Source organism: Homo sapiens, chromosome 7, assembly GCF_000001405.40.
Source record: "Homo sapiens chromosome 7, GRCh38.p14 Primary Assembly".
Classification (NCBI taxonomy): domain Eukaryota; kingdom Metazoa; phylum Chordata; class Mammalia; order Primates; family Hominidae; genus Homo; species Homo sapiens.
In genome coordinates this window covers 1,889,464-1,914,770 of record NC_000007.14, presented here as the reverse complement: position 1 = coordinate 1,914,770, position 25,307 = coordinate 1,889,464, and the positions used below count along the sequence as shown (strand labels likewise).

Genomic DNA, 25,307 nt, shown 5'->3' with positions numbered 1-25,307 from the left:
GTGGTAGCACCTGCCTGTAATCCCAGCTACTCTGGAGGCTGAGGCAGGACAATGGCTTGGGCCTGGGAGGTCAAGGCCACAGTGAGCTGTGATCGCACCCCTGTTCGCTACCCTGGGCAACATAGTGAGACCTCGTCTCAAAAAAACAAACCAAAAACTCAACACGATGTGATCTCGGGTTCTGGAAGTCACACGTTTCCCTGGGCTAAAGGCCAGGGGTCATCAGGGCCGGTTCGTTTCAGAGGCTCTGGGGAGAATCCACATCCGGCCTTTTCTGGCTCCCAGAAGCACCCACGTGCCTTGGCACACGGCCTTTCCTCCACCCTCAGAGCCGGAGCGCACATCTTCGGATCTCTAGCCGACTTTCCTGCCTCCCTTTCTGACGTGTGAAGACCCGCGTGATTGTAGCGGGCCACCAGGATAATGCAGGAACGCCCGTGGTCTCACCATCCCTGCCCCGGACACATCTGCAGAGTCCCTTCCCACGTGCGGTCCTGGGCCCAGGCATAGCCACCGCTTGCTGATGCCTGTCTGGTCTCCTGCCACCCATCACAGCGCCATCTCCTCCTTCCGACTCCCAGGTCCTGAGGCCTCCAGGCCAGCACTGGCCAGGGGAGGGGGCTGGGAAGAGCCAGTGAGGGCGTGTGGCAGAGTGGAGAGTATGTCCCCCATTGTGGGGTCGGGCCTGGGACCTGGACGCGGTGCCTGGGCTTGCAGGAGAGGAGAGGTGGACAGGCGTGCTGGGGGGGGAGACCTGCCCACGCTGCCCTGGGAGCTTGTCTACCCTCTCCCCCCCCAGCATGGCGTCCAGCAGGACATGGGGCGTTCCCTCCAGCGTGGCCACCCAGGACTCCAAGCAGGGCCCAGGAGGAACTGTGAGGGGGCATGACTGAGTCTGTGGCGTTTCCTGCAGGATTCTTCCCATAGGGGTGAAGTCTGTATGGCGGAGGCAGCCAGGGAGCCTCCCCTCCACTCCCCACGGAATCCGGACGGCCTGCATTGCAGCCCCAGTGGCTCTGCTGTGTCCCCGACCAGCTGCTTCCCTCTCAGCCTCAGCTTTGTCCTGGGGGAGAGGCCACTGGGGGCTGCTCTCCCTCCCCCCATAGCAGCTGTAAATCATGAAATCCTCATGGTGTCAGCCGAGGGCTCCCCCTCCCCGCCACTTCTAGAGCCAGAGCCCCTGCGAGGTCCCAGGTTGCTGACCCCACGCCAACCCCCAGGACGCCAGGGCCATCTCCAGGACCTGGGGGAGCAAGGGGCCTGGCTGCCGCTACAGCTCCCAGAAGGTAAAGCCTTTGGCCTCAGAGAGCCTCCCCCGACGGTTCCCTTCTCCAGGCCGGGCGTGCACGCGCGGATTCCTCCTCATGCAGAGCCCGTCTGCCCTGATGGATCCCCCACCCCACGCCACCCCAGGCCGCTTCCTCCGGGTGGAGTGCTCCTCAGCACTCAGGGGTCCTCCCTGCACCCACCCCGCCCAGAACCCTGCTCCTTGCCCCTCTCCTTCCAGAGCCCTGTGTCTGGCTGCTCCAATTACTGGAGCAGTTCCGTGTCCTCTTCCCGAGTCTCCTGCTATCTGAAGAGTTCATTACATAGGAATCCGAGGCCTCGCTGCCTACATTAGCAGGTTTTCATAGACTGCCACATCTCCAAAAGGGGAAAAGAGACAGGAGATTTAAAACTCTCGTCTTGCCGAAAGCAGACAGATTGACTCGAAAATGACCCAGTCAATAAAAGATGAGCTCTGGAAAGGCTTCCCTCTTCTCAGAGGGGGCTCGCCTGCCGGGGAGCTGAGGTTCTGCAAGCCTCGGTGGGAAATTAATCATGAACGCGGCATGCAAAGCGGCCGGAGCCCACACAGCCCCGCCCCCACGTCTCCCAGGACCTCGCCGCCGCCACCCCAGGCCTCTCTCCACGGACCAGCTGCTGGGCATGTTCCTGGAGGGAAGCTTCCGGAAACAGATGAGGTGGCCGTGTTCTGTGGTCACGTCTTGACTCGGCTGTGATATCGCTGTGGGGCACTGCTCCCTCTGGAGTGTTTCTGGCTCTGGGAGGTGCGTGCGCGGTGGGCTCCCTGCCTGCACAGGGGCCCTGGCTGTGGGCCTGTGAGGCTGGGTCTGCCTGGAGCTGGTGGGATGAGAGGGGAGTGCTCTGAGGACCGTTCCCCCACTGGTGCAGGGATGGGGAGCACAGGGTCCCGGTGGCTCTGATGCATCGGCGGCAGGGACCGCAGCCCTGCCTGTGCCAGGAGGAGCCGTGAGAGGATGGGCACCCCTTGCCCTCTGTGGGCTGGCATCTCCGTGCAGGGCCTGCAGTCTCTGCAGTGGCCACCCATTCTTATCTCTCCTGGTGCCCACACCTGCCGCCTGCCTCACCTCACCCAAACAGGAGGAGTCACCTCTGACCCCAACTGCTTCCTTTTACCAGAGTTTCTCAGCTCATGTTCCCCAAAAGGATAGGTTAAGTTTTCCTTTTGAGCCACACATGCCCCCATTTGCTGTCTGTCTCTCAGATGGCCATCCTTCATCCAGTCGACAGGGCTGGCCTTGCGGTTTCCACTGCTGACACACACGGAGCTGGCTGGTTCTGGGGTCTGTACCCGCACGCAGGGCCCCTGCCGCCATCTGGACCCCTGCCACCCCAGTTTCCCCCACTTCAGGATTTTGGGTCAGAAGGAAACTATCCCGACAGCTATGTGTACTCCTGCAGACTTCTGGGTTTGGCCATGGTTCCCGTCAGCCCCCAGACCCCCGACAAGTGTCTGAGGGGATGTGGAACCCAGCCCACTCCCACCACTTCTGCCCTGCAGCTGCATGGAGGGCGGGTTGGACAGGTGAGGCCCAGCCCCTGCCTTCAGGCAGCTCACACAGTGAGGGAAGCAGCCCTGCAAAGGTGGCCGCAGCTGGAAAGGCGTGTGTGTGCCGCAGAGGTTCAGACCCAGTCCAGGGGAGAGGGATAGGATGCCCAAGAGGGGCTTCATCTGGAGGTGACGCCGGACTGGAGAGGGTTGGGATGCCCAAGAGGGGCCTCATCTGGAGGTGACGCCAGACTGGAGACGGTTGGGATGCCCAAGAGGGGCCTGTTCTGGAGGTGACGCCGGACTGGAGAGGGTTGGGATGCCCAAGAGGGGCCTCATCTGGAGGTGACGCCGGAGTCTGGCCTTGCAGAAGTTCGCTGGTGAACATCGTCCCCTGGCAGAAGGCAAATGTGCCCGCCACATTGTGGCAGCAGAAATGAGCACCATGCGTTCTGAGTGTGCCTGGGGTGTCTGGGAGGACTGTGGACTTGTAGCGGCAGAGGACAGAACACCTGGGCTGCACACGAGTGACTGTGCTGGGCAATGGCGCTTCCCTTCCGAAGCTGGGCTCTGACTCTGCAAGTGACTGCGCCGGGGGCAGTGCTCCCCTTCCGAAGCTGGGCTCTGCGTCAAAAGAAAGACCCCTGGGGCCTGAGGAGGAGGGAGAGGAGGGTGACAGGAAGTAGAATTTGGACTCTAGTAAAGAAAGACCCCGAGCAGAGGTGGTGCCAGGGAGGGTTGGTGAGGACAGAGCGTTGAAACCTGGTGTCCAGCGGGTGTTGAGTGCTGAATCCAGGAAGGCCGAAGGCAACTCAAGTTGTCTGGCTCAAGGGGTGCGGGGGATGGAGGGAGAGGCGGCCGCCCAGGAGCGGGAACTGTGGGAGTAGCACTTAGACATGAGGCACGCCTGCAGTTATGAATCCTCACGGCTAATCAGGGCTGTGGGCACAGGCAGCTGAGGCCACTTGAAAGGACTGATGCGCCCAGACCAGGCCCCGCCAGGGCCTCCGGTCACGGGATGGGTGCAGGGTTGGGGGTCAGGAGAGAGACACTGTGGCCCCACATCGCCATGCTGGAGCCCATGTCCCGCCTGACTGGCGTCACAGGGAGCCCTCTCCCTGCTTTCTCATCGTCGGTTTCCCCATCCAGAAGGTGGGGACAAACGTAGCCATGCTCCCCAGGGCGGGGCCCGGCTGGGATGGGTGCAGCGAGGCTGCGTGTTCCTGCCCCGGACAGGCACCTACTCAAAGCCCGAGCAGGCTCTCACCTGACGAACGTGTTCCAGGTGGAAGAGAGGCCAGGACACGGGCAAACACGCGATCTCAGATGCTCGTGAGCTCTAGGGAGAAAGCAAATGTGGGGTGCCCAGAAGACCACTGGTGGGGGTGGCCCAGGGAGGCTTTTCTGAACTGAAGCCTGAATGACCAATGGAGACAGCTGCTCAGCCCCCAGGGCAGTGCCCAGCGTGGGCTCCAGCTTTGGCTCCGCGGCGGGTGTTCAAGGGGTCCCCTCAACAGTGCTGGCATCGCAGAGGTGGCCCTGTGCTGACGCGTCGGACGGCTGCTGCGACCAGCCCTCCCTGTAGTCCTGTTGCTGGCCAGAGACCGTGGAGCTGGATTCTGGCCTCCTGCAGGCATCTTTCTGTCCATTCAGCAGGTGCCACGTCCCCCCACATATGCAGGGTGTCCGGAGGATCACTGACACGGGGGCCAATGTCCCTCCTTCCGCCAAGGTTCCGCTGGGCCTCTGCTGCCGAAGGACCCCATGGGGGCTGTGGAGCCTGGTGCCGGGGGAGGGGGCTGTCCCTTGGGGTTCAGCTGCTGTGTTCTCGGTGCTGGGGGAGGATTCTTCTCCAAATATGATATCCGCGCCCGCCTGTCACCCCAGGACTCTCCCACCCCGTAATCTGGTGGCTGTAATTGCTGGTGTCTTTTCATATCAGTTTTGTGCAAGGTGACAAGCTGCTTGCTGGAGTAAGTCGTTAATCACACAAGAGGTGCCCTGTTTGAAAGCTGCACAGAGCTCACCCAGCCAGCGCCTGCCAGGTGGTGGGCCAGGGAGCGGCTCCTCCGTGTGTAATTCCAGGGCGAGTGTCTTCTCACTGGAGCAGAGTGTGCAGTTTCTGCCCAGCAGGGGAACTCATGGCTCATCATGGAGGCCGTGTCTCAAGGGCCGTCTGGTACCAGCAGAGTTGAAGCGACCATCTTCTTGGGGCAGCAGCAGGCCCTGGCTGGCAGGTGGTGGCGTCCCATCCTCCTGTTGCCAAAGCCAGTTCCTGGGGACCATGATGCCTGCCAGCCCCTCGGGCTGGTCTCCGGGAATTTGGATTTGGGGCCGGCAGCCCCTGGGATGAGCCAGGTGGGGCGCTGTGGGGCATGCTGGGGTACGGTTCTCACGGGTGACATCCCGGGGGGTCCCGGCCAGCCTACAGGTGCGTCCCCACCTCCTACAGTCTCTTGCAGAGCCAGCCAGGACCCGGATACAAATCGCACAGCCATAACCACTGCAATGCCCCATGCCCATGGCTGCTAATAAAATTGCATCAATATTTGATGCCTAATTATTAAATATTTAAAAATGTAAAACTGAAATAGTTTAGAAGCTTGCAAAACATGAATAATTCAGTCCCGGGAAGCCTGGCTCGGCATTGGGCCTGGGCAGGACCGGGGCTGCCAGTGCCTGCCAGGGCCCAGAGTACTCTCTGCAGGGACACTCGGGCGGCTCCCCCAGCCCTGGGCCTCCACTGGCTTCCTGTGTCCGCAGCGTGCAGGGGATCCTTGGTCGTCTCTCGTCGAGGTCAGACCTCGGCCTGATGTGGAGGCCTCTGCGTCACCTACTAGTACACCACGCCGGTGTCGGGCTCCTTCAGAGGCTGGTCCCGCTGCTCCGAGTCTGGGCACGTTCCCTCCTGCCCTGTGTTCCCACTGGCACTGAGCATCTGAGAGTCATCTCTGACCCATCAGACCCATCCTAGAGGGAAGATCTGGAGATGCCAATGCTGGCAGCCTCCCAGAAACAGTCCAGCAGGACCCCCTGGGGCCGCTGCTCATGCCAGGCGCCCAGCCGCCGCCAGGGAGACATCTAACGAGAGGTGGGAAATAGACACTTGGGGGAGCCAGGCCGTGTGGTGGGGGTCATGAGAGAAATGCATGCTGGGGGAGTTTCATAATGTTGAGAACAGAGACACGGCTCTGCTACTTCCGGGGAGTGAGAACCAGTCACTTGTAGAAGACCAGAAGTCAGAACGGATTCAGGCTTCTCCACAGCAGTGCTGAGCACTTGAGACCTGAGGGCGATGCCTTCAGCACTGAAAGAGAGGCCGGGTGCGGGGCTCACACCCGTCATCCCAACACTGTGGGAGGCACACATGAGGCCCGCAGGTCAACAACAGCCTGGGCAACATAGAAAGACCCTAAAAATATATATATTAGCCCAGTGTGGTGGTGTGCTCCCTGTGGTCCCAGCTACTTGGGAAGCTGAGGTGGGAGGATTGCTTGAGCCCCGGAGTTCGAGGCTACAGTGAGCCACGATCGCGCCACTGCACTCCAGCCTGGGTGACAGAGTGAGACCCTGTCTCAAAAAACAAAACAAACACAACTGAAGGAGGAGTGTATACAGCCTGGAATTCTGCATCTGGCCAAATTACCCATCAGCTCTGATGGTGAGGTAGAGATGTCTTCAGCCATGCAGGGTTCCAGACATTGTTCCCTGTCTCACGTCATCAGGGACCTGCTGAAGGGTATGATCGCGAGAGTTGCGGGGCAGCTGCAGCCCTGAGCCAGGTGGTCCCCAGTTCCAGCTGCAGCAGCCTGGACAGACTTGCTGGGCCTGTCATGCTGGAATCCCAACCTTTGAGCTGGGAAAGGTGCTGTGCCCAGGCTGTGCTACATCGTTGGGACCGTGTGTGGGCAAACGTACTGTCTGGTCACCCATGTCTGCTAAGAGCCTTCATCTCACCCTTGCAGGGTGGCCCTGGCCGGACTCCTGAGCTCTGGGGTCACGGGCCGCTGTCTCCTGAGGGGGCCGCACACTGCAGGGGCCAGGGCGGTCACCCTGTCTCTCCGGACCATGCTCAGGTGATCTTTTGGGTGTCCTTGCGGCCCAGACCGCACTGCCCCCTCACTCCACACCTGGACTCAGGCCCGCCACTCAGATCCCGCGCCGAGCACCCGTGATGTCCGTAGACAGCCAAGTGGTTGTTGACGACACAGGGATGTGTTTTATTAAGAGGAACACGTTATTGCCGAGAGGGTTTTCGCCTCCACTGTCTCACTGACCCGGGGGCAGGTGATGTTTCCCCCACTCCTGCCACACCCAGGGAGGAAAGGGGGCTTAGAGAGATGAGGTGACTTGTCCGTGAACGCACAGGCAGTGTATGGAGCCTGGAATCACTCCCTTCCTCCTGGCCCCGTGGCGGCGTCATCAGTGGGGCCGGGCCTACGCCGAGTAGGATTGTCCTCCTGGCTTGGCCTGGGCCTCAGGGGCTGCCTTGTTTAATGGTGAAATATTAGTCCCTTTTTGTGGGTTTTTTAAAGCCTGAAAATCCCAACATTGGTTAACTGTATTTGATTCATTGTTTAGAAAGAAAAATGGCTGTGCCGTGAGTCCCTGAAGGAAAAGTTCCGAAGCTGCCTCCAGTCCCTAAATCGAGAGTTGCTGCAGAGTCTGGGGCTTGGGGTCCTCGGTGGCAGCTGTGCAGGGCCCAGACCCAGGCCAGCTCCTCACTGGGGCACCGGTCCAGGTCGGGCAGGAGCTGGGGGACCGTGGGACAGGGGCAAGGCGGTGGCAGTGGGGAGATAGTGGGGATGGGGGCGTGGCAAGGGCTGAGCAGCTGGGAGCTGCTCTGAGGCCATGGGTGCCCTCACCGCCCCTCGCAGGCTGAAGCCCCTGGAGGCCCCTGGCTCTCACAGTGACCCTGTTAGCCACAGCAGGGATGGGGTTGGGGGCTTGGGGGCGGGGCAGTGGCATGGCCTCTCTTCGGCCTGCCTTGATTTTAAGGGCTTTTCATCTGAGGCCATGGGAAGGCTGTATGTTCAGGGATGAACACGGGTGTTCAGGGACAGACGCACACGTGTTCGGGGATAAACGGACGTTCAGCAGTAGGCGTGTGTGTCCCGTCCGCTGTGTGTGTGCTTGCTTGTGGTTAAGCTGACTGTGTAGCTTGCGCAGGGGCAGGAGCTCAGGTCTGTAGGGGATGGTGGCTTCGCTCACCTGCGTGTTCAACACGCACCCGTCGCGCACTTCCATGTTCCGGGTTCTCAGGTGCAGGGCAGGTGTGACAGTGCGCACAGGCCTGGCCCAGCCCACCTGAGCTCAGGGTGCGCCGCAGGGAAACAGCATGAGGCCCAGTTGCACTGCAGGGAAAGAGCGTGAGGCCCAGGCATCTCAAACAGCTCTGTGGACGCCACAATCTGTGCCCTGCAGGAAAAGAGCATGCGGAGAACAGGAGCCAGAGACTGGAGCGATGGAGAAGCAGGGTGCAGGAGAGGCAGCTGGAAAGGGAGGGTGGCTCAGGGCCCTGGGGCGGGGCTGGGACCAGGTCAGGCTAGGGCCAGATGCAGCTGCAGTGGCAGCCAGGCCGGGGCACCCAGCAGGGCATGAATATCCCAGGAGAGAGCCCTGCCTCAGCTCAAGTCTTGCTGTGGGAGCATGGAGATCTGTCTGCATGGCCGGGGTTATCCTGGACGGGGTAGCAGGAGCGGTGTTGGCATACACAACCGAGGCCAGCCTGGGAAGAGGCTGCTTGGGGTTCGGGGACCCTACAGAAGCACCAGGGCTGGCGTCTCTTCCTCCTGTGGGGTCTTCCCACGTGGGCCAGCTGCCTCAGCTGTGCAGGGGCTGGTCTCCTCAGGGCAGTGCTGCCTGGTGCCTGCGGGTGCTTGGTAAACAGCTAGGCCCCGGCTCTTTTTTTTTTTTTTTTTTTTTTTGAGATGGAGTCTTACTGTGTCACCCAGCGTGGAGTGCAGTGGCGCAATCTCGGCTCACTGCAGCCTCTGCTTACTGGGCTCAAGCAATTCTCCTGCCTCAGCCTCCCGAGTAGCTGGGATTACAGATGTGCGCCACCACGTCCGGCTAATTTTTGTATTTTTGGTAGAGACAGGGTTTCACCATGTTGGCCAGGATGGTCTTGAACTCCTGACCTCAGATAATCTGCCTGCTTTGGCCTCCCAGAGTGCTGGGATTACAGGTGTGAGCCACTGTGCCCAGCCCCAGGTTCCTCTTAAAATCATCCCAGGACACAGATGGGGGTCAGGCCGGCCTCACTCACGGGAGAGGTCCCAGAGGGAGGTCACAGAGCCCAGGCCCACAGAGCTATTCCAAGCACCTGGAACAGTGCTTCACCAATCATGAATTCCACAAGAGCATCTTCCATAGGCTACTGCGTCCTCGCTGCCTGGAACAGTGCTTCATCAATCATGAGTTCCACAAGAGCGTCTTCCATAGGCCACTGTGTCCTCGCTGCCTGGAACAGTGCTTCATCAATCATGAGTTCCGCAAGAGCGTCTTCCATAGGCCACTGCGTGCTTGCTGCCTGGAACAGTGCTTCATCAATCATGAGTTCCACAAGAGCGTCTTCCGTAGGCCACTGCATCCTCGCTGCCTGGAACAGTGCTTTATCAATCATGAGTTCCACAAGAACGTCTTCCATAGGCCACTGCATCCTTGCTGCCTGGAACAGTGCTTTATCAATCATGAGTTCCGCAAGAGCGTCTTCCGTAGGCCACTGCGTCCTCGCTGCCTGGAACAGTGCTTCATCAATCATGAATTCCGCAAGAGCGTCTTCCGTAGGCCACTGCGTCCTCACTGCCTGGAACAGTGCTTCATCAATCATGAATTCCGCGAGAGCGTCTTCCGTAGGCCACTGCGTCCTCGCTGCCTGGAACAGTGCTTCATCAATCATGAGTTCCACAAGAACGTCTTCCATAGGCCACTGCATCCTTGCTGCCTGGAACAGTGCTTTATCAATCATGAGTTCCTCAAGAGCGTCTTCCGTAGGCCACTGTGTCCTTGCTGCCTGGAATAGTGCTTCATCAATCATGAGTTCCACAAGAACGTCTTCCATAGGCGACTGCATCCTTGCTGCCTGGAACAGTGCTTCATCAATCATGAGTTCTGCAAGAGCGTCTTCCATAGGCCACTGCGTCCTCGCTTGCCTGGAACAGTGCTTGATCAATCATGAGTTCCGCAGGAGCGTCTTCAATAGGCCACTGCGTGCTTGCTGCCTGGAACAGTGATTGATCAATCATGAGTTCCGCAAGAGCGTCTTCCATAGGCCACTGCGTCCTCGCTGCCTGGAACAGTGCTTCATTAATCATGAATTCCGCAAGAGCGTCTTCCATAGGCCACTGCATCCTCGCTGCCTGGAACAATGCTTCATTAATCATGAATTCTGCAAGAGCGTCTTCCGTAGGCCACTGCGTCCTCGCTGCCTGGAACAGTGCTTGATCAATCATGAGTTCCGCAAGAGCATCTTCCATAGGCCACTGCGTCCTCGCTGCCTGGAACAGTGCTTGATCAATTATGAGTTCCGCAAGAGCATCTTTCATAGGCCACTGTGTCCTCACTGCCTGGAACAGTGCTTCATCAATCATGAATTCTGCAAGAGCGTCTTCCATAGGCCACTGCATCCTTGCTGCCTGGAGCAGTGCTTCATCAATCATGAGTTCCGCAAGAGCGTCTTCCATAGGCCACTGCGTCCTCACTGCCTGGAACAGTGCTTCATCAATCATGAGTTCCGCAAGAGCTTCTTCAATAGGCCACTGCGTGCTCGCTGCCTGGAACAGTGCTTCATTAATCATGAATTCTGCAAGAGCGTCTTCCATAGGCCACTGCGTCCTCGCTGCCTGGAACAGTGCTTGATCAATCTTGAGTTCCGCAAGAGCGTCTTCAGTAGGCCACTGCATCCTCGCTGCCTGGAACAGTGCTTCATCAATCATGAGTTCCACAAGAACGTCTTCCATAGGCCACTGCGTCCTCGCTGCCTGGAACAGTGCTTCATCAATCATGAGTTCCGCAAGAGTGTCTTCCGTAGGCCACTGCGTCCTCGCTGCCTGGAACAGTGCTTGATCAATCATGAGTTCCGCAAGAGCATCTTCCATAGGCCACTGCGTCCTCGCTGCCTGGAACAGTGCTTGATCAATTATGAGTTCTGCAAGAGCATCTTTCATAGGCCACTGTGTCCTCACTGCCTGGAACAGTGCTTCATCAATCATGAATTCTGCAAGAGCGTCTTCCATAGGCCACTGCATCCTTGCTGCCTGGAGCAGTGCTTCATCAATCATGAGTTCCGCAAGAGCGTCTTCCATAGGCCACTGCGTCCTCACTGCCTGGAACAGTGCTTCATCAATCATGAGTTCTGCAAGAGCTTCTTCAATAGGCCACTGCGTGCTCGCTGCCTGGAACAGTGCTTCATCAATCATGAATTCTGCAAGAGCGTCTTCCATAGGCCACTGCGTCCTCGCTGCCTGGAACAGTGCTTGATCAATCTTGAGTTCCGCAAGAGCGTCTTCAGTAGCCCACTGCATCCTCGCTGCCTGGAACAGTGCTTCATCAATCATGAGTTCCGCAAGAACGTCTTCCATAGGCCACTGTGTCCTCGCTGCCTGGAACAGTGCTTCATCAATCATGAGTTCCGCAAGAGTGTCTTCCGTAGGCCACTGCGTCCTCGCTGCCTGGAACAGTGCTTCATCAATCATGAATTCCGCAAGAGTGTCTTCCGTAGGCCACTGCGTCCTCACTGCCTGGAACAGTGCTTCATCAATCATGAGTTCCGCAGGAGCGTCTTCAATAGGCCACCGTGTGCTTGCTGCCTGGAACAGTGCTGGATCAATCATGAGTTCCGCAAGAGCGTCTTCCATAGGCCACTGCGTCCTCGCTGCCTGGAACAGTGCTTCATTAATCATGAATTCCACAAGAGTGTCTTCCATAGGCCACTGCATTCTCGCTGCCTGGAACAGTGCTTCATCAATCATGAGTTCCGCAAGAGCGTCTTCTGTAGGCCACTGGGTCCTCGCTTGCCTGGAACAGTGCTTCATCAATCATGAGTTCCACAAGAACGTCTTCCATAGGCCACTGCATCCTCGCTGCCTGGAACAGTGCTTCATCAATCATGAGTTCCGCAAGAGCGTCTTCCATAGGCCACTGCATCCTTGCTGCCTGGAACAGTGCTTCATCAATCATGAGTTCCGCAAGATCGTCTTCCGTAGGCCACTGCGTCCTTGCTTTCTGGAACGGTGCCTGCTGCTGGGTCCTCCTTCCCACTGCAGGACGTACAGCGAGGCTGGAGCCTGAGACGGTTCCCTGCACCCTGAGGCTCACGTAGCCCGGCCGACCTGGTTCTGCGTGGGTATAGCTCAGGCCCCGGGGAAGGGCGGAAGTGGACAGGCAGTGCCCTGGGGCTGCACTCCTAAGATCCGTCGGTACCTTTAAAAGGTTCTCTGCTTGCTCTCATCTGCGTGTGCCCCGTAACACTCGAAGGAGTAAAGAGGATGTAGAGAAAAGTACCGCGTTTTCCTTTTCCCTCCTTCTGAAAGGCCTGGGCCCCGGCATCTCTGTCCCTATCCCCGTGGGTCACAGCTGTGTGCTGGCTCTCCCTGCCCTGCCAAGGTAGAAGCATTTTCTGCGTTTCAGGCTGTGAACTGGGCCTCTTGAGATAAGTGCTGTAAATGCTCCTTTATCCTGACATCCCGGCCCTCAGTACTGTAAAGCCTCTCTTTCCTGCTAGCTAGCCTTTACCTAATGGAGCACAATTTATTTTTATTCTGTCCTCTTCACAGCTGCCTCCTGTGATTCCAGGAGGAGGCAGGTGTGGGGCTAAGGTGGTGAGGGGGTGGCTGTTCAGGCACCAGTGTCGTGGATGCCTTCAGCCCCCTGGTACACCCCACTGGGCCGGGCCCTGGGCAGCCGCCGCTGCATCCTCTCTGACTCCCACTTGAACACCTGCTGTTCTTCCTCCTCTCTTGCCCCTCACCGAGGCCTTGAGAGCCCATCAGTACCAGGCCTGTGTCCCTGCATCCCTGCAAGGTGGTAGCAGGTACCTCTAAGAGGGCCGGTTCTGCCCAAAGCAGGGGTCCCAGGGGTGTGGAGGAGGGGCCCGAGGAGGGCCGGTATCTAGGCAGAGGGGAGTTGCTGCTTCCTAGGCAGGTGCTCCTGGTCAGTGTGGCCAGAGTTCAACATCCCCGGGCAGGGAAGGCAGGAGCCAGGGCTGTGGGTGGGCTGGGCTCAAGGCCTCCCTACGGTTTGGCTCTAAGCCTGGGGTAGCCCTGGAGGTCAGCGGAGAGGGCCTAAAAGCCTTGGTGAGGCCACCCCAGAGAGCAGGGCTGCAGAGCTGGGCTCCCTCCCTGAGCACCCCTGGCCCAGCAGGCCTTGAGCACACAGCGAGCCGGGCTGGGCAGGGGATGGGAGCGCTGAAGGCTGCACCACTGTCTCGCCTCAGCCCATGCACTGCTGTTGCAGGTCGGGCCTGAGAACAGCCTGGGCAGTGCCTATGTGGTCCCAGGGCTGGGGTCGGGCACAGGGCTGTCGCCTCTCACCCTGGGGGTCTCTGCCACTGGCTTCTGGGGTCTCTGAGAGGAGCCTGCCCAGGATCCAGGCCCATAGAACCCAGTCCAGAGGAACCCCGGGCTCTTGGCTCACTTGGGAGGAGACCACGTGAGAGCAACCGACAAGAAAGCAATGACATTTCCAAGGCGGAAAACCCATCTTTTATTTATTTAATCCAAACCATCGTGTGAATTATTCATTCACGTTGATGTAAGCCACTGAACTACAGGGATAAAGGGGGGTCAGAACGCTGGCTTGATCTGCCCCAAACTGAACCGACTCCGTCGAGGCAGCCTTGTCTGGAGGATGGACCCTTCCCTACGTGGACAGGAGACCAGGATCAGGGCCCCCTCACCTCCGAGGGTCTGTGTGGCATGGAGGATGGACCCTTCCCCTCCAGGGCCCTGGGTTTGTCTGTCAGAGGGTGAGAGAGTGGCCCCAGGAGTGAGTGCGGCGGCCCATGCTGCTCCCAGCCGCATGGGTGGTGGTCTCGCCTCTGAGAGGGGGCCCCACACACTGCCTTCCTCGCCCTGGGACCTCATACCAACCTGCTATGGGTGGGCAAACACAGCCTGGAGCCCCGGAACTTCCAGAGGTCTGTGAGCGGCACAGGCAGCTTTGAAGTCTATCGGAAAACAGGGCTGTTTCCTTCTCCAAGGTCAGGCTTGCATTTATTACCAAAATCTAATTCTTCCCCTTTGGACGCCTGAGATCTATCAAAGGCAGCACGGGCCATGTTAGGGTGAAATATGGCCTCTGAAATGTGGTCTCTGCGTTCTTCCTTGTGCACGTGGCAATTCCTGCTACCGATAGCCCCATCTTCGGGAGGATCAGCCGAGGGACGCAGGGAAGAGTCTTGGGGTCAGAGCTGCCAATTAGCCTTCAGATTTCACAGCCTGATTGCTCGATTCATCAAGGGCCCCAGCCTCGTCCTGCTGGAGGGGCTGGGCCGTGGAATAACAGTGTCCCCCAGGGCCGTCTTTGCCAGCAACGGAGGGAGGAGGCCAGGTTGGGGCGAGGGCTGAATCAGTGCCAATGCTGCCATCCCACAGGTGGATGGGCGCCAGGGCCCCTCTGCTGACAGGCCTGCGGTTGTACAGGCCCCATATCCTCCCAGCCCCTGACATCTGGATGCTGCTAACGTGGTCCCTGCACCGCTGCTCCTTCCAGAACCCATGGCAGGCAGCGCCCTTGCTTTTGCAGCTAAGCAGCGAGTCTCTGTGAGCCTGGGTGTCATTGTGTGTGGATTGGGGATCGGATCGTGTTCATAGCTGTCATAGCCAGGCAGTGAGTGAGCTTGCACTCGGAACGGGCTGCTCGACTGAGCTCACGCCATCGGGGGTGCCCAGCGGCCCTGCGCTCTCGGCGGTGGCCTCCGGCACGTGATCTGGCCTAACACCTCTGAAGGCAGCTGCCTGCCTGTGTCCGTGTTGCAGGCAGAAGTCCTGGGAGATGGGGTGAAGGGGTAGGTTCAGAGTCACAGGTCAGGGAGGCAGAGCCGAGCTGAAACCGCGGCCCCTCCCGCGTCCTCCATCTTCCTCTGCAGACTTGAGGGCTTCTGGTTTGCACCTGGCTCCCCTGTCCCTGCTCACCTCCAGGAAGCAACCTGGACTGCATCGTCCACCTTAAACTGGCCCATCAGAGCCTCTTCGGGCCGCTGTGCACAAACTCCCCGGCAGCCCCTCTCTCACTCACTGTGACCTGGCCAGCAGGCACTCACACTGCACCTTTCCTCACACTCCCCTAGAGTGGACTGTGGGGGACCCCACACCCTTTCTGGGGCCTTCAGACTCATCTCTAACTCAGGACCAGCCTCCCCCCGGGCGCTGCCTGGAGTTGGAACCCTTGTTCTCTCCAACCATATGGCCATGGTTGACTTTAACATCCTCTTTCTCAGCCTAGCCAGGGAGCTGACCATCCCGTGCCTGGTTGTGGGCGCCTACAGCAGTCCTGTGATTCAGTCCCTCGTCATAGTGGAGGGAGGCTAGCAGCTGGCCCAGCTCCCGTGGCCTGCAGGATAGGGTCCAGCAGGCTCCCGTCCCCGCCTGGAGCAGTCCCAGGCCCCTGGAGGGCTCCCCATTGCCAGCTCCAGACAGCACTGCTGGGAAGCACCCGGCCTAGGGGACGGCTCTGTGTGCGTCTAAGTGGAGCCAGTCCTGATAATTAACGCGGGGATAAATCGAGGTTTAACTACTTGGAAGGCCTCTCGGGTGAGAAATTCATGATAATCGCTGTTATCCTCCTGATGGCTCTGCAGAGCAGTTCCTCCCCAAGCAGCCGTAAACTCTGACGGGCAGGGTGTGGGGCTGTACCCTGAATAGTCACTTAGAGCCATGTCAGGGGCAGTGGGCCTGGGGGTGCCGGCTGTCGTCTCACGATGGCCTGACCTCAGAGGTGGCTGGCAGGTAAAGCCCCGGGGCAGTAGGATCCGGAACGTCCCGGTGGCCTCCTGCCTGCCTCCCTGTTTGTCGGTGCTGGCTCCTGTGGGGTAGGCGTCCAGCCTCAGAAAGGACCCAGGCGGCAACCTGGGAATGGATGGTCAGGATCACTGGGTGGCGTGGCAGCCCAGGCCTTCGCTTTGGGACCCACATCCTCAGCACCGGCTCCTCACGCGGTTCTCGCCTAAATCCCCGGAGTGTTGGGGCAAGCGAACCCCGAGTCACGCCTGACCCTGTGGCTTCCTGACCCTGTGGCTTCCTGGCAGTGACTGTGCTGGCTCCAGGGGTTGTCATTCTGCAGGCCGAGGGCTGATCCCTGTGGAGGGGCCCTGGCTGCTTGTAGTCTGGCTCTCAGAGTTACCGTTCTTAATGCAGTAACTTTATTATTGCCACCACCAGAGGGTCAGCCGTTATCAGCTCACCCCTCACTCCCGTTCCCTCATGCATGCCGATGGAGGCTGGCTGGTGTGACACGGGGGCTTGCTGTGTCCCTGGGCAGCCGCCACTCCCACCTGTACTCGGCTTCCTCCCTGCCCTGGCCGCTCCCGGGTCCCCACCCCTCCGGCCTGGTGCCGCACTCACTGTCTCCTTCCGTCCCTCCCGCAGAGCTGAAGAAGCAGGTGGAGAGTGCCGAGCTGAAGAACCAGCGGCTCAAGGAGGTTTTCCAGACCAAGATCCAGGAGTTCCGCAAGGCCTGCTACACGCTCACCGGCTACCAGATCGACATCACCACGGAGAACCAGTACCGGCTGACCTCGCTGTACGCCGAGCACCCAGGCGACTGCCTCATCTTCAAGGTGGGTCCTGCGTGTGACGGCTCTCCGGCTGTCTCGCTCTCTGTCTCCTCCTGTGGGGAGATCCGACCGTAGCCCTCAGCAAAGGAGCAGCCTCGCGTCCAAAGGGGATGGTGTGGAGGGCTGGGCGGGAAGGAGGTGCACTGGCCCGTCCTCGTCACCCCCTGAGGCTTCTCAGCCTTGGGCCAACCCTATGTGGCTTTGCAGCCCTGGACCTCCTGGGTGCAGAAGACCCTAGGCTGTCCCCCTGACTTTCTCAGCCTCTGTCTGTCGCAACTTGGGCTTCGTTCCATGAGGGCTGCGGCCGTAGGCGTGTGTGTCAGTGTGTCCAGAGGCAGTGGTGCCTGGGGAGGACTGAAGTCCGTGTGGGGCCGGGGCAGGGGACGCCTTCCAAGATGCCAGGCTGCGCAGTGGGACAGCGCAGTCCCAGAAGCCAGCACAGGGCAAGGTAGACAGACTAGAAGAGGAAAGGAGAGCCAGCCGCATCTCTACACTCGCGTCCTGCGAGCCAGCAGGCGCTCTTCTGGTTTGCTGGTGAAGCCAGACTGGGTCCACCGTTGTGGACATGAAGAGTCCTCGGGCGAGCGGGGTCCAACAGCAGAAATTGGGGTGTTATGTGTTGACCCTCAGGGTGGAGGTGGCCCCACTTGGACCTCCAGCAGCTGGAGACCCAGGGCAACAGGGGCTTGTTCATCACTGCCCCGGTGAGCTAACCTCCGGTTTGTGAGGATGGTGCCGTCGGCCTGGTGTGGCATTGTGGCCCCGGCATGACCTCGTGGCCCCGTCTTGGCATGTGGCTGCTTCAGGAAGGGTGGAGGGGGCGGTGGCTGTGGGAGATGAGGACAGGCAGAGACGGGCCCCACCTGGGACTGCTGTGGTCTGGAACGGGCGTCTAAACTGCCTGCAGTCTGCAGCCTCTGCGTGTCTTTATGGAACCGAGAACCAACTTTGATTTGTATAAAAGCTGTACCCAGTGCGGCCTACGCATGTCCGTCAGCGTCTCACAGCGGTGAGCCGCTGCCTGTCTGATTCAGCCTTAGCCCGGCTCTTCCTCCTCCTTCTGCACAACCCGCCCGTCTTCACAGCCTGCGCTGCACGGGGGCACCGTGCCGGGCTTGCTCTGCGTTCCTTGTGGATTTCCTGCTTCTCAGATCACAGTCATCCATTTCTACACTCTTGAAACTCTCAAACCTTTGAATAATAAAAACACACCAAGTCTTTAAGCTATCAGAAATGTACTTCTTCGCTTTTGTATAATTCTGTATACTTTGAATAATTCACAGAGGTGTTTAATGCATTATACGAATTCCATAGGTTTCTAAAATGATTAGGTATTAATAAAGGTGTACCATGAACAGTTATCACTTAACATATCACTCGTTACATCAACATTTACAAATTAAGAGGCAGCGTTTTCCCCGGATCCCTGCGTGTGCTGTAGTTGAAGCGAATCTTAGGAAGACTAACTGCAGCGGAACCTTGGGGCACCCTCCACAGTGTTTTCTGTTGAGAGTGTCGAAAATCCAAAAGAGGGAAGCAAGCCACTCGTCATCTTCCCGCGAAAGGTGGCCGCTGTCCTGCTTCGCCGTGTTTCCTTTCGGTGTTTCATACGTAGGCACATGCCTAGGCATGTTCATTTACACCTGGGAACTCGGGATCCTGGGGTTCCATTGTGTGTGCTCCTGTGTCACTTTTTAAAAACACCGTCAGCAAGTAGCATCTTGACCACTGTAAGCCCTGCATGGGCTTCTGAAGCGCAGCCCTGCCCAATGTCCTCAGGTTTGCTGGACACCAGGTCCATCCCCGTCATACCCTCGAGCATGGGCCCTGCCGCTCTTCCTGCTCGAGCCAGCATCTCAGCTCCCCCGGCCCTCATCCGCCCGCCCAGGATCCCAGCCATGGCAGGATGTTGAGACCAGAAGGCTTGGGCTGGCCTCAGCTTGCCAGTGGCCGGACTTTCAGCCCCCATGGCCTGGGCAGGAACCCCTGCCCTCCTTTCCGCCTTGGAGCCCTCTCAGCCCCCAGGCTCCTGAGGTCAGGGAGAGGCAGGAAGGGGGCCCCAGGAGGAGGAGGCAGGCGGACAGAGAGCCCAGGAGCTGGCCAGCTCCCCAGCCCTGCTCGCCCCAGGCCTAAAGGACACACAGCGTACGGGAGGCCGGGCTCGCCCTGAGGAGCCGTGGTTCCTGCAGGGGTCTGGCCTGGGCCCCGCAGCTCTTGCCAGGCATCCTGCCCGCCTTCCTAGACTCTTGTGATCTGGAGCCTTGGCGCCTCCCCAGGCCGCCCCCTCACTGCCCATCCTCCAGCCCTTGCTGTCCCTTCTTTCCAGTGGCAGGCCTGGCCTGACCTGACCTTCTGGACCACGGCCTGTCCTGGCCCAAGGCCCGTGTGAATGTGACTTTGCAGGTCCTGAGGGCTGGATGTGCTGGGTCAGAAGCCATGGAGCTGAGGCAGCCGCCTCCGGAAGGACAGACGGTCCACTGGCCCAGTGCTCCACCAGCAAGGCCTGGTGCCCGCAGAGGCCCCGCTCCCCACCCTTCCGGCCACCCACCATGCCTGCTCTGGGCCGTGTTCCGGGGGCTGGCTCAGGTGGACAGTGTCAGGGAACGAGGTTGCTTTTAGCTTACCCACTTTCCCCATGTGTGACATGCACTGTGTTTTCATGCTTGAAGCTCACAGGATCAGGGAGATTAAGTAAAGTATGGAAGGGCTTTACAAGTTGATGTTTGCAGGCGGGGCTGAGAGCTGCGGGGTGGGCCTGGCATGGGGAGCTCTGGGCAACCCAGGCAGGGGGCTGACTCTAGGTGAGCTTGTGGGCTGGTGCCCAAGTGCAGCTGTTGCCAGGGGGGTGCTGGCTGGGCCTCTGCCTCATCTGTAAAGCAGGTACAGTTACGTCTGACCCACAGGAGTAAGTGGGGCCATGTTCCTGGCACATCCATCATGGTTGCCAAGACCCCACCTTGGTCCATCGGTTTCATTTCTGAGCAGTGAAGTCCCCGCAGGAAGAAGCTGCCAACTTGTGTCTGCGGTTTTCCCTGGAACCCCAGCATCAAGGCCCACCTGCTCCATCCTCTTCACCTGGGCCCAGCTCGCTTGTAGACACCTTCTCCAGGAAGCCCTCCTGGGTTCCCCAGATGTGGGACCCTTCTTCCGCTGGCTTCCCTCCTAGGACACGTGCCACCTTGTGTTTTTCCTGACAGGCGAGTCTGCCGGAGGTTTTATCCTGTTGGGTTCGTTGTCCCTTGAGGGTCCCCAGGGGGCCTAAGTGTGCCCCTCCTGTGTTTCTCCCCCACTGCTGGGTGCCTGGTTCTTAAAGATGCTTCTTGCTCCATTTCTCCCTAGGCTTCTTTTCACAGCCTCTTTCCCCCAGCCTCACCCAACCCCCACCCTCTACTCCTGCTCTTCCTCCTCCCTCTCCCACTCCTCCTCCAGACTCTGTCCTGCCCAGCTGATGTGCCCTGCTAGCAGCTGTGCCTAGCACCCCGCTCGCCCCCTCCCCTCTTTGGAGGGCTGGGGCCTCCCAGACCTTCCTGCGCCCCATCTGGTTGATGTGGAGGGATCGCCTGCTGGATATGGGCCTTTAGAGCATGTTCATGAGGGCTGACACTGGGCATGCAGCCTCACCTCCCCAAGTTTCAGTCTCCTCACCTGTGGAGTAGAAGTAACTGTGGCTCACTTCGGAGGCTGCAAGAGGCAAGTCTCATAAGTGCCACCTGTGGAGCTGGGGAGGGGTCATGTTGCACCGGGATCCCTGTTGGCTGGTTCAGCTCCAGCCCACGGTGCACCCGTGCTTCTCCCAGAGCTGTGACTAGCTCTGCCGGCCCTGTGTGTCCTGGTCCCTGCAGACCTTCTGGAGGGCCTGCAACATTTAGGGAGCTTTCAAAGGCTCCCTGTAAGCCGACTCTTCCCAAGTCCTCCTCCGAGCTGCCCTTCACTGGGTGAGGCCGTTGGCCTCCTGAGAAATCCTCCCCCTTGGGTTCCAAGAAGACAGCGCTAGAGCTGCCAAGTCTTCTGGCAGGAGCTCTGACCAGGAGATCAGCATCAGTCCTGCCCCATCCACCTGTCATTCCTGCCTCCTTTGTATCCAGGACACCAAGCTTGGTGACAGGAGAGGCACTTGTACTGTTCGCAGCAGCTCCACGCCCCCAGCTCAGGGCCTGGCTTATGGAGAGGGCAGTCTAGGGCTCTGCCAGACAGACAGAAAAACAGGTTTCAGTGGAGCAAAAGGGAAGAGACAAACAGTGAACAGACAACAGCCAACCTGTAGGGCCAGGGCTCATGTTGGCACCTCTGCCTGCAGATGGTCACTGACTCCTTGGGGCCATGCAGCGGTGGCCCTGGTCTCCACTGTCCAGAGGAGAGATAAGAGACACTGTGGAGTCACCTTGTCCCGGGCAGCTCCTGACCCTGGTGTGCAGCCTTGGCCAGGCCACTGCACTCCTGTGAGACTCAGTTTCCCCATCTGTCATGAGGAATGTGGTCTGGGTGCTCCCTGGGGGCCCTGACCCTGGCCTCCTGGCTTCAGAAAGGCATCCTCAGGGGGCTGAGCATCACTAGGTGTGCCCAGGAGGGTCTTCCCTGAGCTACCCTCCTGAGATAGGGCCACGGAGGGCAGAGGCCAGTGTGGGAGGGCAGGGAGAGCAGGGAGACAGGCCCCCTGCCCCACCCACTCCACCTGGGGGCTGGCATACGTGGCTCCCGTGCTCCTGAAAGATCTCGCCAAACCCCAGCCTCCTGGCCATGTCATTTATTTTATCAGATTTTCCCCCAAATGATTCTTCAGGCAGAAAGGGGGCTGCAGACAGAGTTAGAAATAGCCGAAGCCGTTTCCAGTCAAGCGGGTTCCACAGATGTGTGCTGGGATAATTGAGGGTTTGCCGCACAGTCCCCCGCCACTCTGCTTCCCATCCCAGCCAGGACTTCCCATCCCAGCCAGGACTTCCCATCCCAGCCGGGACCAAACCTCTTGTTGCCGCGTGGGTGGAGGGAGCTGGCTGCCTGGGCTGCCGTTTGGGGGAAAGGCAGGCAAATCTCAGCTCCAGCTCTTCCCAGCGGGAACCTGCTGCCTCTGCTCCTCTCCCTCCTGAGAGGGGATAGAGATTCCAGAGTCCCTAGAGCTTCCTGGGAAGGCCATACTCTGCCTGGGCCTGGAGCGGGGAGGCTCAGCTCCTGGTCTCTCCATCCCGGCTGCACTCCTCCCAGTGGTTCTCACGGAATTTTCCCCACCTCCCTTTTCCCCTCTTCTCAAAACCCAGGGAAGGAAGCCTTCTGTTACGAGAGGGAGAAAATCAGTGGTAAGAAGAAGTGGAGTGACCAGGCCGGGGACACAGAGCAAATGCAGTTTGGGGCAAAACCGTGAGCTTCTGGGATCTGGGAGACACACTGGTTCCAGCAGGCTCCTCATTCCTTGCTGTCCAGGGCCTTCCCCGGCTCAGAGGCCTGCAGGGTGGGCGTCAGGGCCAGAGGCGTGGACGGCACAGATTCCGGAACTGCACAAACATGTGGCGATGTCGACCTACCGGGTTTGTCATATGGATGAGGGGGAAAGGTATACAGGTCCAGCCTCCCCGATTCGAAAACCTGAAGTCGGGAATGTTCCAAAATCCACAGCTTTTTTTATTGTGGGTCTGTCACTCAAAGGAAATGCTTAATGGAGCGTTTCCGATACCAGATTTTCAGATTAGGGATGAATATTTGCATGAGATGCTTACTCAACCAGTAAGCACGTAATACAGATATTCTGACAACCTGAAAATCTGGAAATCCCAGACACTTGGTCCCAAGCGTTTCCAATAAGGGATACTCAGCACTCACCTGTGTGTATATGTGTAAGTCTAGTACGGTCTCGCTTTGCCAGATGACAGGGATGCATGCTGAGGAACGTGCTGGTGGGCAGTGTTGTCTTTGCGGGAACTTCCTAGAATGACTTGTACGAGCCTGGGCCGTGCAGCCTCCCGCACCCTTGGGCCGCATGGTTTAGCCGGCTGCTGCCAAGCTGCAAAAGTGTGCAGTGCGTGACTGTGCTGAATGCAGTAGACCACCGTGGCGCAGTGCTAAGCATCTGCGTGTCTGTACGTGTTTAAATATGGAAAAGGTGCCATAAACATGATGTATGAAGGGTGGAAGACGGTGCACCTGCGTAGGGTGCTCACCGTGAACGGAGCTCGCAGGGCTGGCGGGTGCTCTGGGCGAGCTGGTGAATGAGGGTGAGTGAGTGTGAAGGCCTAGGACATGAGTGTGCACAACTGGAGACTATAAATGCCGTACCACTTAGGCTACACTCAACTATTAAAAATACTGTTCTTTTCTTCAATAATAAATGAATGGCTGGGCACAGTGGCCTGTGCCTATAATCCTAACATTTGGGGAGGCTGAAGTGGGGGGATCGCTTGAGCCCAGGAGTTCAAAACCAGCCTTGGCAACATAGCAAGACCCTGTGTCTACAAAATATTTAAAACTTAGCCAGGCGTGGTGGCGCCTGCTTATCGTCCCAGCTACTCCAGAGGCTGAGGCGGGAGAATTACTTGAGCCCCAGGAGTTAGAGGCTGCGGTGAAAACTATGATCGCGCCACCGCACTCTAGCCTGGGTGACAGAGTGAGATCCCATCTCTAATAATAATAAGAATAAAGTTTGTTGTAACTTTTTGAGTTTATAAACTTTTTAATTTTATTTATTTATTTGAGACAGAGTCTTGTTCTGTCACCAGGCTGGAGTGCAGTGGCGCGATTTCGGCTCACTGCAACCTCTGCCTCCCTGGTTCAAGCGATTCTCCTCCCTCAGCCTCCTGAGTACCTGGCATTACAGGGGTGCGCCACCACACCCAGCTAATTTTTTTGTACTTTTAGTAGAGACGGGGTTTCACCATGTTGGCCAGGATGGTCTCAATCTCCTGACCTGGTGATCCTCCCTCCTCGGCCTCCTAAAGTGCTGGGATTACAGGCGTGAGCCACCGCACCCAGCCTATTAAAATTTGTTTTGTATAACACTTAGCTTAAAGCACAAGCACATCCTACAGCTATAGAAAAATGTTTTTGTATAGCAGCCTTCCTGGGAAGAAGAAATAGCCCCGCACCCCTCGTCCTTGTGCTGGCCCGGGGTGTCGCTTCTGTGCACCCTTTTTTCCCCTCTGCCCATCCTTGCTGCCCCTGCCGGACCTCAGCAGGGGAAGGGGAGGTGGCGCAGAGCCCGCTTTCTGGCGTCTGTCTGATCCCGCCGAGGTCCCGCACAGAGCCCGCTGCTGGCGTCTGTCTGATCTTGCTGGGGTCCCGCATTCTCACTGTTGCATGGACTGTGGAAATCCCAGACAGGAAGGCTGTGCACCTCCCCAGGAAAAATGAGAACATGGGCGTCAGACAGGGTCCAGACTCCTCTACCACAGCAGGTTGGCCCTGGGAAATGACTTCTGGCCTCAGCTCCCCAAGGACAAAGTGGGGCCCGTGAGCACCCCTTCTCAGGTGCTGAGCGATGGAGAGCTGATAAAACAGCACAGGTGGCCTTGGTTTCGGGGCTCCCTCCTCCTCTCCCCGACATACCTGTAGTGGCCGGCACAGCCTGGGCCTCCGTGGAAACTGGCAGGATGGGCTTGCCTGGTGTCTTTGCCTGTTATGTTGCTATAAAGGAATATCTGAGACTGGGTGGTTTCTAGAGAAAAAGGAGTGTATTTGGCTCACAATTCTGGTGGCTGCTAAGTTCAAAAGTGGGCACGTGTGCACCTGGTGAGGGTCTCAGGCTGCGTCCACTCATGGCGGGAGATGAAGAGGAACCGCCCACTTGGGCAGAGATCACATGGCAGGAGGCCAAAGGGGTGGGGTGCCAGGCTCCTTCTAACAACCAGCTCTCATGGAAACAGAGAGAGACCTCACTAATTCCCTCAAAGGCAGTACCAGGCTGTGGGTGAGGCCTGTGACCCCATGACGCAGACACCTCCTCCCCATAGGCCACACTTCCAACATTGGGGATCCCATTTCAATATGAGACTTGTCAGGGACGTACCAACAGTACCCACACCAGAACACGTGGTCCTGGGGTGAGACCCTCCCGGGGATCCGAGCCCACCATACCCACACCAGACAGAGCGTGTGGTCCAGGAGTGAGACCCTCCCACGGATACATGCCCCTCCCAGGAGATGATTCCCCATTCTTGCCATAGAGAGGGGCCAGGAAGGCCCAGGTCCTGTGTGTCTTGAGAGTGGAGGCAGCTCCACCTCCCAGCTGCCTTCACAGCCCTGTGGGTGGGCAGCCTTCAGGGCACCACCAGCCTGGGGCCCAGAGCCCAGCTGTTGCTGTGGCCCCTGACGAGCTGTGGCAGCAGGCCCCCCAGCTCTGAGCTTTGGAGTCTCATGGGTGGCTGGGCCTCTGCCTGGGTGGGGTGAGGGGAAGGAATTAGCTGGGTCTGGAGCCACCATGCTTGCTTAGAAGGTGAGGAAGGGCCAAGCCACAAACATGGCAGGCTCAGCTGACAGCAGCATCCGGCCTGCAGAGGGGACGTGGCCCAGGTCCTGCATGAGTCAGCCCAGGGGAAAGAAGCGTGTAACTCCAAGAGCCTGGCTGGGTGAGCCTACGGAGGCCGCATGGCTGAGCCTGTTGCCTCCGTGAAGCATCTCTCTGCGTTGCAGGGAACATAGGAGATGGTGCAGGGGCAGCTCCACTTGGGGAGAGCATTTTCAGAACCACCGGTGCAGGCCTGGCCCCGACAAGCCTCAGGATGTGCAGCTGGGCTGCTGTGGAGCCCCTGGGCTGGG

General features: G+C 58.8%; 1 protein-coding gene across 6 annotated transcripts in view, besides 6 other annotated features; it reads left to right on the top strand.

Moving 5' to 3' along the window:
- MAD1L1 (mitotic arrest deficient 1 like 1) overlaps positions 1 to 25,307 on the top strand; it is a 417,151-nt gene that overhangs the window by 318,175 nt on the left and 73,669 nt on the right. For all 6 annotated transcript variants that reach the window (NM_001304524.2, NM_001304523.2, NM_001013837.2 and 3 more), the window contains one exon: positions 16,381 to 16,571. In NM_001304524.2, the coding sequence (NP_001291453.1) occupies positions 16,381 to 16,571 (191 nt within the window). The remainder of the gene's footprint in view (positions 1 to 16,380; positions 16,572 to 25,307) is intronic.
- Positions 1,189 to 1,822: an enhancer, noted in NCBI's record as "H3K4me1 hESC enhancer chr7:1952585-1953218 (GRCh37/hg19 assembly coordinates)". NCBI's record gives its function as "activates a minimal SCP1, AML or CMV promoter by ChIP-STARR-seq in naive H9 embryonic stem cells {active_cell/tissue: H9 hESC(naive)}" and the evidence as "EXISTENCE:reporter gene assay evidence [ECO:0000049][PMID:30033119]".
- Positions 1,823 to 2,456: an enhancer, noted in NCBI's record as "H3K4me1 hESC enhancer chr7:1951951-1952584 (GRCh37/hg19 assembly coordinates)". NCBI's record gives its function as "activates a minimal SCP1, AML or CMV promoter by ChIP-STARR-seq in naive H9 embryonic stem cells {active_cell/tissue: H9 hESC(naive)}" and the evidence as "EXISTENCE:reporter gene assay evidence [ECO:0000049][PMID:30033119]".
- Positions 2,634 to 3,134: an enhancer, noted in NCBI's record as "H3K4me1 hESC enhancer chr7:1951273-1951773 (GRCh37/hg19 assembly coordinates)". NCBI's record gives its function as "activates a minimal SCP1, AML or CMV promoter by ChIP-STARR-seq in primed H9 embryonic stem cells {active_cell/tissue: H9 hESC(primed)}" and the evidence as "EXISTENCE:reporter gene assay evidence [ECO:0000049][PMID:30033119]".
- Positions 13,273 to 14,133: an enhancer, noted in NCBI's record as "H3K27ac hESC enhancer chr7:1940274-1941134 (GRCh37/hg19 assembly coordinates)". NCBI's record gives its function as "activates a minimal SCP1, AML or CMV promoter by ChIP-STARR-seq in naive H9 embryonic stem cells {active_cell/tissue: H9 hESC(naive)}" and the evidence as "EXISTENCE:reporter gene assay evidence [ECO:0000049][PMID:30033119]".
- Positions 23,396 to 23,896: an enhancer, noted in NCBI's record as "H3K27ac hESC enhancer chr7:1930511-1931011 (GRCh37/hg19 assembly coordinates)". NCBI's record gives its function as "activates a minimal SCP1, AML or CMV promoter by ChIP-STARR-seq in primed H9 embryonic stem cells {active_cell/tissue: H9 hESC(primed)}" and the evidence as "EXISTENCE:reporter gene assay evidence [ECO:0000049][PMID:30033119]".
- Positions 23,897 to 24,397: an enhancer, noted in NCBI's record as "H3K27ac hESC enhancer chr7:1930010-1930510 (GRCh37/hg19 assembly coordinates)". NCBI's record gives its function as "activates a minimal SCP1, AML or CMV promoter by ChIP-STARR-seq in primed H9 embryonic stem cells {active_cell/tissue: H9 hESC(primed)}" and the evidence as "EXISTENCE:reporter gene assay evidence [ECO:0000049][PMID:30033119]".